A 13,468-nucleotide genomic window follows, 5' to 3' on the forward strand; every position below is an offset into this window, starting at 1 on the left:
GCACCTGAGACTAGGCAAGGAGCCAGCCCTCCTGGGCAGCTCTGTGCAGCAGGGAGTTCAGGGGATGAAAACAAGAGCAGTCGTGGTGACAGGCCCGGGCTAGTGTATCCTCCTCACCTGACCTGAGCAAGCTCCAGGGAGCAGCACAGGGGTCTGGACATTCCCCACCACAAGCCCCTCACCTCCATGCGGCGGGCCCTAAGAATTTAGGGGATTTCAATTAGACTTTGTAATAAAAGTAAAAGAGACCAATCAGGAGATTCTTAGGTTATGAAAATTGTAGAAGTAAACTTTGTGAAGCCACCTCACCGCTTAAAGCATTCAGTGTACACATTAGCACTGAACGCTCTCCTAAAATGACATGAATTCAGTCATTTTACCATCAATTCTGTAAACAGTTGAACAGCGATGATGTTGTTTTTCAAAGCAAATGAAACTGAGTTAATCTTAAAATACTACAAGTGGATCTAAAATGTATTATTTCAGAGTTGGCCAAAACAGGAATCTAATGGTCTATGAACAAGTAAACATTATTTGGGTGGAAATATCTGTCATTTGCATGATATAAAATTTAATAAAAAAATGAATGTAGTGGTTGAGCATGGCAGCTAACGCCTGTAATCCTGGCACTTTGGGAGGTCAAGGAGGGAGAGTTGCTTGAGGCCAGGAAATGGAGACCAGCCTGGGCAACATGTTGAGACCCCATCTCTACCAAAAAAATTTTCTAAATTAATGGGGCATGGTGGCACGTGTCTATGGTCCCAGCTACTCAGGAGGCTGAGGTGGGAGAATTGTTTGAGCCCAGGAGTTCAAGGCTGCAGTGAGCTATAATTGCACCTTTGCACTTCAGCCTGGGTGACAGAGTGATACACTGTCTCTTTAAAAAAAGGGGTGGGGGGGAAAGAAGTAAATGTAATATGTAGAAAACTACAAAGAACAAGTCATTTCAAGTGGGTCACAGACAAAGCAATACAGAATCACCCAGCTGGTGACTGGAAAGGCTGGGATTGTACTGTCTGTCCTGAAGCCCACCCACCAGAACTTCCCTGGTCCTTGGTGGCCTCCATTGTTTAGGCCCGTTCCAGAGGAATCCTGGGACCTTAGGAGTCCTGATTAACCTCCCTGCCCCTGTCATCCCCATACGCCCGCCGGGATCCGCTGGGGGAACCTAGGGAGGCAGAGCCGCAGCAACACGTTCCTTGAGGTGACCCCAGCCCCAGCGCCCCACTCCAGTACGGGAGGGCCAGACACCCCCTCACCCCCAGAAGACAGCTGGCTGTGCCTGGAGGAGGACGTGGTGCTCAGTTTCCCCACCTGTGCAATGATGGTGTGGTAGATGCTGGGCCTGGTGAAAACTACGAAATTCCTAATTCAGAGATTCTTAATTTGGGTCTAGGGTCCATGGATGGGAATTAGGATACTTTTAACCGTCCCTGAAATTGTATACAAAATTATGTGACTATGTATGCATGTGTGAATGTTTCCAGAGAAGGGGTCTAGAACAGCACAGTCCAGTAGGTGACTATGTATGCATGTGTGAATGTTTCCAGAGAAGGGGTCTAGAACAGCACAGTCCAGTATGTGACTATGTATGCATGTGTGAATGTTTCTAGAGAAGGGGTCTAGAACAGCACTGTCCAGTAGGAATGTTCTGGGAGCTCTGCAGATGTTGTATTAAACTTTCTAGTGGCCACAAAAAAAGAGGTAAAATGATACAGGTGAAATTAATATATATTTAGCCCAATAATCTAAGGTATTGTCAATTCAACATGTAATCAACATATAAAATTATTAAGGAGATATTTTACTTTTTTTCATACTAAGACTTCAAAATCCACTGTGTGTTTTATGCTTGCAGCACATCTTAGTTCAGCCCAGCCGCATTTCCAGAGTCCAGCAGTTGCATGTGGCTAGAGCCTACCTTACCAGAGAGCTCAGGTCTATAGCTTTAATCAGATTCTCAAAAAGAGTTTGAAAAAGATGGAAAACCATTGCTCGATGGGTCACACGTGGATACCCCCCACTTGAAGAGAGCCGCAGGGTTCTGCATGGACGAGAGGAAATATTTAGGATGCTCCCATCACAGTTTCCATGAATTATGTGCCAAGACCTAGGGTTTTGACACATGGTGGAGACCCAAGGTGGGAAGGGGGAAGGACACGGAGCAGGGAAGCACAGTGGCTGGCCTCGGACTGAGGTCCTAAAGATCTCCCCACTCCAACCCTCCAAGGGCTATGAATAGGCAGCTGGGAATAGGGATCAGACCAAGACAAAGGTCAGGACAAGAAGACAGAAGACAGGTAGAGGTGACCTGGAGGCAGTCAGCCTGGAACAGGGCTGGCAGGCACAGCGGGGCTGGGCTGAGGCCACATGCTGCTCACCCAGGCCACGGGTGGAGGGTCCTTAAAGGAGGGCCATGCCTAGAGAGCCCATCAGAGCAGACCTGACCTAAGCAGCCATGCTGGAGGAAGTCTTGGGCGCCATGTTTTCCACTCTCTCATCCCTCTCCCTTGCTGGGCATCCTTGCCACCACTGTCTCTTCTCAACGTTTACTCTATACTCACAGAAAATGAACATCTATTTTTTCATTTGGCACTCAAGGCTCCTTTAATTTCCCCAGATTTTCTCTGGAAACCAGCCCTCCCCGACTCTCTTCCCCCTTGGTTTGGGTGCTGTTGACTCCACCTCCAGCTGCAAGAACACAGCATGTGGTCCAAAGCTGGCCAGTCAGTTCCTGGAAGCTTTCTAACCAAGGCATTTGGTTCATTGGACTCAGGACTCTGGCTGGTGCAATCACAATAAATGCTGGTGCATGAAGTTCTAAGAAAGACACTTTGTCTTTCCTGCTGGGCAGAACTTGGGAGCATATGAAGCTGGGGCTGCTAAATGTATCCATCTTGCCACCATGAGAGGAAAATTTGTCAGGAAAATGGAGCCAGTAATAATAAACACCTATATAACTAATACTTCCTATGTGCCAGGCAGAGGCGGGTTTATTGTGCAGCTAATGATACTTAAGCTGAGTCTTCTCCTTGCACACACACATCCTTCCAAGGCTCCAGGGGAGCCCTAGCAGTAGGTTCGTGTGATCATATATTTTAGTAAAATTCACAGTAGTAAACGATTTTATCCACAATTGGTAAAGACTGCTGTCTTCCCATTCCTACCCCTCTGTTAGCATTGGTGTGGCTATAGATATTTTTAGGATCTGGTTAAGGAGAGGTTGAGTTAGAGATATATTTTATTTCAGTTTAGTGAGATGTATTTATGGGGTTTGCAGTCAGCTTCACATATAGTGAAGTCAGCTTCATGTACAGTCAGCTTCACATATAGTGAAGTTCACTGTGATGTGGGTGTGTCCTTTGGTGCCAGAAGAATTGGATAGAGGAAGAGAAATGAGATCTGAAATATCCAGAGCCAGAAACCAATCTGAAAAATTCCTCTAATCCAACACACAACATTGTAAGTGGAAGACTTGGTTTTCCTTGACACCTGATCAAAACAGAAGTTCTCTCCTGAAAAGGGTGTTTCCCATCATGTCTTGATTGCATGTTTTCCTTTATTTGAGGGTAATTTTAAGAAATATTAATAGAATATGTATCGTGATTCCTGTGCTACAGCAGCTAGCACAACACCTACAACAGCTTATACACCAAAGAAGCTTGATGGAGGCTGCGGCAGATTCTGTTTTCCAATAATGGTTGCACCGATATCTCCTGTCCATGCTCTTCCAGCACCTTGCCACTCCCCATCAAAAAATAGAGGCCAACTCCCCTTCTCTTAAATCTGATGGGCTTGTGATTGGTAACTTACAGGATGTGAGAAAAATGACTGCTTGACTCCCAAGGTTAGATCATAAGGTGATGCAGCTCTCTTTTTTAATGGCTAGAACACTCCCCCTTAGAGCCCTGAGCCGCCAGGCGAAACACCCAACTCCCCTGAGGCGGCCATACTGTGGGGAAGCCCAGCCATAAGGACAGGCCACCAGTGGGTGCTGGAGTCAGCAGTCCTAATCTCCAACTGGCCCAGCCCAGGCTCCAGACCCACGGACGAATGAGCCTTCCAATAATTTTAGCCCCAGTGGTTGGGTCATCCCTAGCCAGGGCCCTTTCTGAATTTCTGACACACAAAATATCTGTGAGCCTAATAGAGTGGTTGCTGTGTTATGCCATTACATTTTGGGTGATTTGTTACATAGCCATAGTAAGTAAAGCAGAGGTTTTCCTAAATTTGTAATGATCCTGAAGTTTTATGTAACATTACCAGTAAAGAATTATGAAGCTGAAAGAAACAATCAATAATGAACTACTATTAACTATCAATAATTTTCTAAAAATTCCAATCAACCAGACTGGAGGAAAGATTGCTACCTATTTGCACCAAAGAAAGTGATATTACAAAACTGGTATTGTTATACAGCAAAGAAGAAATGAAAAAAAACAACAACTCACAAAATGGGTGTTGAACAAAAAGGCAATCAAGGTGTATTCAGGCAAGCAGTGGAGGGAAAAGCATGGAGGTGTGTCTGGCAGTTGATTCACACAAATATCATGGTGTGTTTTTTTTGTTTGTTTTTTGTTTTTGATATGGAGTCTTGCTCTGTGGTCCAGGCTGGAGTGCAATGGCATGGTCTCAGCTCACTGCAACTTCCACCTCCTCGGTTCGAGCAATTCTCATGTCTCAGCCTCCCCAGTAGCTAGTATTACAGGTGCGCACCACCATGCCTGACTAATTTTTGTATTTTTAGTAGAGATGGTGTTTCACCATGTTGGCAAGGCTGGTCAAGAACTCCTGGTCTCAAGTGATCCACCCGCCTCAGCCTCCCAAATTGTTGGGATTACATTTGTGAGCCACTGTGCTGAGCCCATATCAATGTATTTTTTTAAATTTTGTAATATTTTGGAATTTATCAACCTTTTAAAATTTTAATTTTTGCCTGATTTCTTTTTATCATTTACAAAGAATATTAACTTTTGTACCTAACTTTGTGTCAACTTGTATAACCTTCAGGCTCCATAATACACGCCCTTGTGTCACACTATTCAAAGCACTTTATATAGAGAACACCGTTGTTTTATCTACAATTGGCAAAGCTGCCTGTCTTCCTGTTTCTGCCTGTCTGCCGACATTGGTGTGGCTATGGCTGTTTTTAGGATCTGGCTAAGGAGATCCCCCAAGCCCTGTCAGGTGAGGAACTTTTATTATCCTCATTCTACAAATGAGAACACGGAGGCAGGAGTTGGTTGATGAACTGCCCCCAGGTCACCCTGGGAGTGGAGCCCAGAGGCCACAGTACAGTCTCCTTCCAGAGGAAGTGCAGGCAAAAGGGAGCAGAGAGAGCCCTTGGATCGAGCTTTGCCTGAAGGAGTAGATCCAGTCCTGGGCTTTTCACTTGGGTCTCAGCCCCTCCCCACCTACTTTAACCCCAGGAAAGAAGGGTTTGGTCACTCCCTTCCCTTTATCCTTGCTTAGAACACCAATCGATGACAATGTCACAGAGAAGAGGAGGCAGCTGACTGACAGGGGTGTAGGAAGTATCAGGGCTGATGACCTGCTGAGTTTCCATTCCAGGCAAAAGCCCTGGAGCAGGTTGTGGGTCAGATAGCAAGATATGTAGCATGAGGCAGGCATGACACATGCTTCGGTGTTCCGCGCTGAGTACCATGGGAAGGCACAAGCGGGCCTGTACTCTTGCCTCATGAGGAAGTGGTTATTTACCCTGTTGACATGAGGGAAAGGACCATTTCCTGTCCAGGAGTGCTCAGGACCAAGCAGGAAAGGGACACCTCACCCCTGCCCTCATTCATTCTAGGGCTACTGGAAAGGACAAGCCTTGCTGTAAGCAAGGGACAGGGCACCACCCAGCCAAGCCATTCATTCATCCCACAAATTGTTATTGAGTGTCTACCGTGTCCCAGACAGAGAGCTGTGAGGGTAAAAACAGGCCTGGTCCCCACCTCCAGTGTACAACCCACCTTCCACTCCATGTCTCTCAGCCAACGGGGTAAGTCAGTGTTCCAGAACCTGGGACATGACACTTCAGGCCCTGGAGTGCTGGGGCAGATATACAATGCAGAACAGAGTCTCTGGAATTTCAAGGTAAAGAGCCATGGAAGAGCTGTAAACAAATATTAGTCAGCTAATTAACTTAGTTTGGAGGCAGTCGTTGCAGGTCCATGAGCTTTGGGATAAGAAATAGAAACATGTTTTGTTTTGTTTTTTCTCTGAAATTTTTGTTTGTTTTAATACAATTGAACATCTCATTCCCCCCCAACAGTAATCAAAGCAAACATTTTATCATTATTTTTGTCATATTATTCTTGGTATATCAAACTAAATTCCAGGAATGTAAGAAAATCTGACTTGGAAATATTACATAGAAAAAGGCTGAATTAACACATTACCTTTTTTAGTTTTTCCTTGTAAGTATACATTGACATCTACTTATCCGATAACAGCACTGTGGTTTTGAGTGAGTTTGGTTTGGTTTGGTTTGCTTTCCTTCCAGAGGGAATGCAGTATGGCAGTATTATCTTTGGAACAAATTAAAAAGGTATTAGCAAATAACAGAAGAGTTACTTCCACACATATATTTTCCATGGGCAATAAGTAGAAAAGTATATTATGAAAAAATATGCCTCAACTATGCTTTTTAAAATTTCTCGAGGTTTACTGGTTTGTTTTTCTTATTAAAATATAATGCACTATCACTACTGTCTGTCCGGGGAAAAACAAACCCTGAGGTTTGAGTTTCCTCCTTCAGCCCATAAAGTGATATCAAGAGTAAACTTGGATTGAGGTCACCCTGTTTGAGCCACCAGAGAGTTCTGTAGTATATCTGGTTATTTTACTAATGTATACATATTCTAGGTTATAATCAAGATACTCATCAAATATTTTCTATGAAAGTTTTATATCCCAAACAGGTTCTTTGATGATTTATCATGCTACCATAGGAAATTTGAAGAAATTACAAATTGTGTAACAGAAATAGACATGCAATATAGAGGACAGAAAAGATACAGCTTGACCCTGGGTTTTTCCCTTAGAATAATTCCTTCCATAAATCAGACTTTATTTTCACATATAGACTCATCCTATAACTGGTCTTGGATCATGAAGTTAATGACATAGTTGGAAAAATCTAGGCCACACATTTTTGTGGTCTTTTGTCACCCTAGACCACACACAAAAAAACATTCTCCAAGTGGATGCTCGGGTTAGATTATGATGCTCTTACATTAAAAAATTGACTGAAGCTGAGAATGTAAAGCACACAACTATTTGCAGCAGCAATAGTCTTTCAAAAATGACTAAAACTTTTAAATACAAGGCATACAAAACAGACTATTAAGGAGAGTTTTCCAAACTATATCTAGAAATACAGGAAAATATGTATTGCCTCATAATAAAGTTAAATAAATATCATTTCTGAGTTCTATAAACACTATAAGAGGTTATCGTTTTATCGGAGAACCATGTTTTAAGACCCCCTGAGGTACCTGCTCCGACCTCTCCCAGAACCCCTCTGCCTCTCCTCACCAGGCCTTCTCCGTCTTGAGGGGATCTCCCCGCTCCCCACTCCGCCCTGTTGGCCTTATCCTCTGATTTCTGTTTTCATAAAGCTTCCAAGCAATGGAAATGAGTATGTGCGTTTTAAATGTACTGTATTTGTCACTTTTATATTCTAGTTCATAATATTTTTTAAAAAATAAATTGAGACTTTCATACATTTTCAAAACATAAACCAAAACAAAACTGGGTTAAGCGTGAATAGGGCCCTCTAAAAGATTATTTCTGTAGGCTGGTTGATCTGAATAGAAGACACATCTTTCTCTAAACTCCAGTAGTGACCTGCTGACCACAGATTTGGCAAGAGAATCCTCAGTCCAGACGTATGTTCAGAGTTTCATCCTAATGCTCAATTGCCAGGAGTTCTATGAAATTTTGCCCTCCTCTTCCCACATGGCACTGACTCATCTGAAAGGCAATAGGTTTCCTGTAAACACCCAACTCACCAACAGCTGCCAAGGGGGGCGACTGTGAGGTAATGATCTGCCTGCCCTGGGTTCAGGAGGGTGTGGGGTACACCTATGCCACCTGCAAGGCCCAGGGCCCCAGCCAGCCTGCTCCTTCCTGCCCCTGAGGAGGCAGCACCTGAGTGCCCCGCCAGTGCGGAGGAGACTTCCCTTCTGTGTGCCACCCGGGGTGGCCCAGAGGGATTTGAGGTGAAGTCCAGAGCTGAGGGCCAAGCCCAGCCCTCCCCATCACACTCCCTCAGCACCAGCTATAGTTGATGACTTCCCTCACATGACAGGATTTGAAATGCATATGTGAATGTGCTTTTAATGTTTTGCCCCTTCCTCCTATTCATTTCTCTCGTCTTCAGCCAATGGCACCAACTGTTAAAGCTGGAGATGAGAGAAAGAAAGGGGCCCTCCTGGCCGGGTGCAGTGGCTCTCACCTGTAATCCCAGCACTTTGGGAGGCTGAGGCTGGCGGATCAACTGAGGTCAGGAGTTTGAGACCAACCTGGCCAACATGGCAAAACCCCGTCTCTACTAAAAATACAAAAAAAATTAGCCAGGTGTGGTGGCGCACACCTGTAATCCCAGCTACTCGGGAGGCTGAGGCAGGAGAATCGCTTGAGCCATAGAGGTGGAGGTTGCCGTGAGCCAAGATTGTGCCATTGCACTCCAACCTGGGCAACCGAGTGAGACTCTGTCTCAAAAAAAAAAAAAAAAAAAAAAAAAGGGGAGCAGGGGGCCTCCTTCTGCCTCAAATCTCAGAGCCAACGTTCCAGAAACAAGGCTTAAAGGCTGACCACTGTGAGGAAAATGAAGACTTTTCTAAATTCCCAGAGTTTCCTTTCACAGACCATAAGCAGAGCTTTGAAATGTGGGTCCTGTGAAGAGAGAGTCTTAGAGAAAGTGCCCACCCAGCATAGGATGAAAGGAGAAAGCCCCTGTACTTCCAGGAGGGAAGCAGGGAGAAGGACTCACATGTCTTCCCAGCCCAGCCCAAGCCCTTGGGGGTATTCTGCACGAACAAATCAGGTGGGTGAAATCCCTTAGGTGTGGGCTTAGCCCTGTCTCCACAGGCACATCCTGGGAAAAGTCACATCCCTGGACAGGAGCACTGTGTCCCGCATAGTAATGCCTGCCCATCGTGGGTGTGGGAAGTGATTGGGGAAGGGCCTAGGTAGGATGGGGGCCTGTGGTGGTGCCCTCTCATCTTCCTAGGCCCCCTTGTGTGACAGAAGGATCCAGAAGTGTTCCCAAGCTCCCACTGGGGGTGTGGAGGTAGCTCAGCTGACAGCAAGAGGCCTGCCTGAAGCTGCCATGGGTGGCGTGAGGTGAGGCAGAAGCTGGGGATGGTCAGCTTGAGCCAGGGCCTGCCCCGACCTGGCCAGCGTGGAACGCAACAGCGGTCCCGTCAGCTGTGGCTTTGGCTGTGCATACAAGCAGGAGTCCAAAGGCCTGGTCAGAACACCCCACATAGATCCTGGACTACAACCCTCCCAAGACCACTGAGGGTCCCGCATGCTTAGCTGCCATCTCGGCTCCAAGGGTGGGGTAGAGAGAGCTCCAAAATGAGCATTTCCTAAGAGAAGCTGAGTTTAATCCAAAAGTGAACCTGAATTTTTTTATGTTAAGTGGGAAATTGTAATTCCTCCCAGCCTATTTGTAACCTCCTCCTTACACAACTGTCCAGAGGTCTGGGGACTAGGAAATAAGATGTCGCAAGTTATGAAGCAGAAAAGGAATCTAAATGGGATATCTGGAAAGAGATTCACAGAGGAGGCATTTCTTAAGATGAGCCTTTAGAAAATGGGTTGGTGCTTACAGATTATTGCAACACCAATTTACAGTATTCTGTGCTATTTAAAAGTGGAGTACCACTATTAGGTATAAGCTGTTACTTCAGAGGTCATACAGCAGCGGCATTCAACCTTTTTGGCTATCTGTAAACCCCCTCCCCCCATATTCCCGCCTACCCTCTTCTCAGAGCCTCTCACCACACTCCATCCTAAGCCCTCTTCCTCACTCAGCTACTGCAAACCCCCATCTCCTCCATATCATATTGCCAGCCCTTCTCAAAAAAGCCTGAGTTGGGTCAGGTGCGGTGGCTCACGCCTGTAATCCCAGCATTTTGGGAGACTGAGGCAGGCAGATCACCTGAGGTCAGGAGTTCGAGATCAGCTTGGCCAACATGGTGAAACCCTGTCTCTACTAAAAATACAAAAATTAGCCGGGCGTGGTAGTGCACACCTGTAATCCCAGCTGCTTGGGAGGCTGAGGCAGGAGAATCACTTGAACCCGGGAGGTGGAGTTTGCAGTGAGCCGAGATCATGCCACTGCACTCCAGCCTGGGTGACAGAGCAAGACTCTGTCTCAAAAACGAAAACAAAATCAAAAGCCTGAGTAGAGGAGGTCTCCAAAGCAGATGTTCCACCAGGCATGGGAGGGATTAGGCACCAACCACAGCCCCTTCACCAGGGCAGAGCAGCAGCCCAGAGGCAGAAGTCCTGGGAGTTCCATTCCTAGAAGCCTCAAAGAGCAGGAAGGAAATCAGCCCCTTTCATCAAGGGCTGCCCCTCTGAGGACACCCAGGGAGGATGGCACCAAGATCAGAGGTGTCAGAGCCAGGAGGACAGAGGGACAAGGCCCTAGAATCCTTTCTTTTGGCATTTAAAATATGGAATCAGAATCATCTTGAAGCCAGTATCAGTGACTCTATAATTCTATGTAAGCTGAAAATTCTTACTGAATACAACTCTCCCCTGTGTAGACAGGCAAGCAGGGCCTGCAATAAAATGTTAAACCAAACTAAGGCACATTTTGTTTTTAAAACCTCTCAAAGTTTTCCTTCATCTTTATACTTCTTTAAGCTTTAAGAAAAGAAAGAAAATTATAATCAACAAGGCAAAGCTCCTACTGCAAAAATAATGCATACTTTAAAGAATTTCTGGGCGGGGCGCAGAGGCTCACGCCTGTAATCCCAGCACTTTGGGAGGCCAAGGCAGGTGGATCACCTGAGGTCAGGAGTTGGTGACAAGCCTGGCCAACATGGTTAAACCCCATCTCTACTAAAAATACAAAAATTACCTTGGCCTGGTGGTGTGTGCCTATAATCCCAGATACTTGGGAGGCTGAGGCAGGAGAATTGCTTGAGCCCAAGAGGCGGAGATTGCAGAGAGCCGAGATCACCCCACTGCACTCCAGCCTGGGCAACAAGAGTGAAACTCCGTCTCAAAAAAGCGAGTATCTGGACCATAAATGTGGCAGTATTGAAATTAGCAAAGATCATTCTGAACAGAACATGCCATCTGTATACAATGAAATCAAAGACCAAGACAATGCTTTCTTTGATCTTAAAAGATTGCAGGCTGGATGCGGTGGCTCATGACTGTAATCCCAGCACTTTGGGGGGCTGAGGCGGGAGGATTGCTTGAGCCCAGGAGTTTGAGACCAGCCTGAGCAACATAGGAGACCTAGTCTCCACAAAAAATTTTTTAAAAATTAGCCAGGCATGGGAGTGCTCGCCTGTGGTCACAGCTACTCAGGAAGCTGAAGTGGCAGGATCACTCGAGCCCAGAAGGTCAAGTCTACAGTGAGCCGTGATTGCACCACTGCACTCTAGCCTGAGTGACAGAGTGAGAAAAAAAAAAAAATCACAACTTCTACAAAAAGATATTAAGTAAATTTTATTAAGAAGATGCCATCAGTTTTCAAATAAGGGGTGGCCTTATTTGAAAATGAAGAACTGAGAGAAAAGTTAGAAGTTTGAAAGTTTGAAGTTAGTTTCAAGTTAGCTCTTTACCATTCCCACAGCTCATATGGATTCAGAAGAGCTTTTCTAGCAGGTAGAATTATTGGCTCTCAACTCCAAGATAACAGCTTTGACACACTCAGTTTCTTCAACAGCATACTTTTCAAAAATATCACATATTACTGTCATTCTGACCCAGCGGTGTCATGCCTGCCACCCTGACCACGCTGAGCTGCCCGCAGTAAGGCTGCTGTGTGGCTTGTGCTGCTGTTCCCACTGGTCTTTAAAAAGGGATGTTGGGTCCGGGCACGGTGGCTCACGCCTGTAATCCCAGCACTTTGGGAGGCTGAGGCAGGCAGATCACGTGAGGTCAGGAGTTTGAGACCAGCCTGGCCAATATGGTGAAACCCTGTCTCTACTAAAAATACAAAAAATTAACCGGATGTGGTGGTGGGCACCTATAATCCAGTTACTTGGGAGACTGAGGCACGAGAATTGCTTGAACCTGGGAGGCGGAGGTTGCAGTGAGCCAGGATTGTGCCATTGCACTCCAGTCTGCGCAATAAGAGTGAAACTCTGTCTCAAAAATAAATAAATAAATAAAATTTTTAAAGGCGACGGGTGGGCGGGGGGGGGGTGTCGGGAGGAGACCACTGGGTCAGAATGAGTCTCCTCTTCACAGCCTAAAATCTACTGACCCTAAAGAAACTCACAATATTTGGTGGATCCAAGGGGCTTGAAGGAATGAGAATCAGAGGGACAGAGAAACAGACCTGCTCAGATCAAAAGATGCATCGTGAAAGAGCCAAGAATTCAGATCAGATTTACATACCCCGCCACACACACTTTCTCACAGACACTGTTTAGCTACCAGGAACAATGAACGTATTTAATGTATTTGCATGGGGTGGCAGCTGTGTACCTGGCCCAAGTTCAAAGAGCTGACTGTGGATAATTATCACGGAAACTGTGCACACCCACCAGCTGGCGCCATGCCGGGATGGGTCCGTCCCTTCACAGCCATCAGGAAGCTGATCAGAGGAGACGCTGAGTTGTGAAGAGGGACAGGGGAGGCCACAGAGTCAAGGGGTGGAGAAGAAAGGATGGTGAATCAGAAAGCAAGACTAGCAACTCAAAACAAAATGCCTGTACAGACATAATGTACCCTGAAAGAAGCCAGGCATAGAGGAGTGTGATTGTGTGATTCCGTGGATGCCAAGCTCTAGAACGAACACAGTTAATCAGTGGTGACAGAACTTAAAATTGTGGTTACCTTTGGTTGAGGGGTATTTTCTGGTAAGAATCACAAGGGAATCTTCATACATGATGAAAATGTTCTGTATCTTGATCAAGGTGGTGGTTACAGGGGTAGAGACATGCAAGCATCCATCCAGCTGCACACCTACGGTCTTGTGCTTTTCTGTCTATGTTATACTCAATAACATTTAAAAAAAAAAAACAACCATTAAGAGTCTGCTGTTGGGGGTGGGAGCAAAGAGCTATAAGCAAACTGATTGATGGTTCAACTTCTAGGAGAGCTCAGTTACCATGAAAGGTAAAGGTGCAGATTAACCTGAAAATAGGATTAGTTGGAAGTTGGCAGAAGTGTAATAGTCCCACAAATCACCTGTCCAGTCTCAGCAGAAGGTTAAAGGTTTACTCTCTGGGGAGGAGCAAGCAGAAGACATGGGAGTCCA

General features: G+C 45.7%; 2 annotated features.

The window, feature by feature from the left end:
• Nucleotides 1,861-2,361: an enhancer, noted in NCBI's record as "H3K4me1 hESC enhancer chr15:42388958-42389458 (GRCh37/hg19 assembly coordinates)". NCBI's record gives its function as "activates a minimal SCP1, AML or CMV promoter by ChIP-STARR-seq in naive H9 embryonic stem cells {active_cell/tissue: H9 hESC(naive)}" and the evidence as "EXISTENCE:reporter gene assay evidence [ECO:0000049][PMID:30033119]".
• Nucleotides 12,961-13,040: a silencer, noted in NCBI's record as "silent region_6373". NCBI's record gives its function as "represses an Ori minimal core promoter by ATAC-STARR-seq in GM12878 lymphoblastoid cells {active_cell/tissue: GM12878}" and the evidence as "EXISTENCE:reporter gene assay evidence [ECO:0000049][PMID:35858748]".

This window comes from Homo sapiens, chromosome 15, assembly GCF_000001405.40.
Source record: "Homo sapiens chromosome 15, GRCh38.p14 Primary Assembly".
Lineage (NCBI taxonomy): Eukaryota > Metazoa > Chordata > Mammalia > Primates > Hominidae > Homo > Homo sapiens.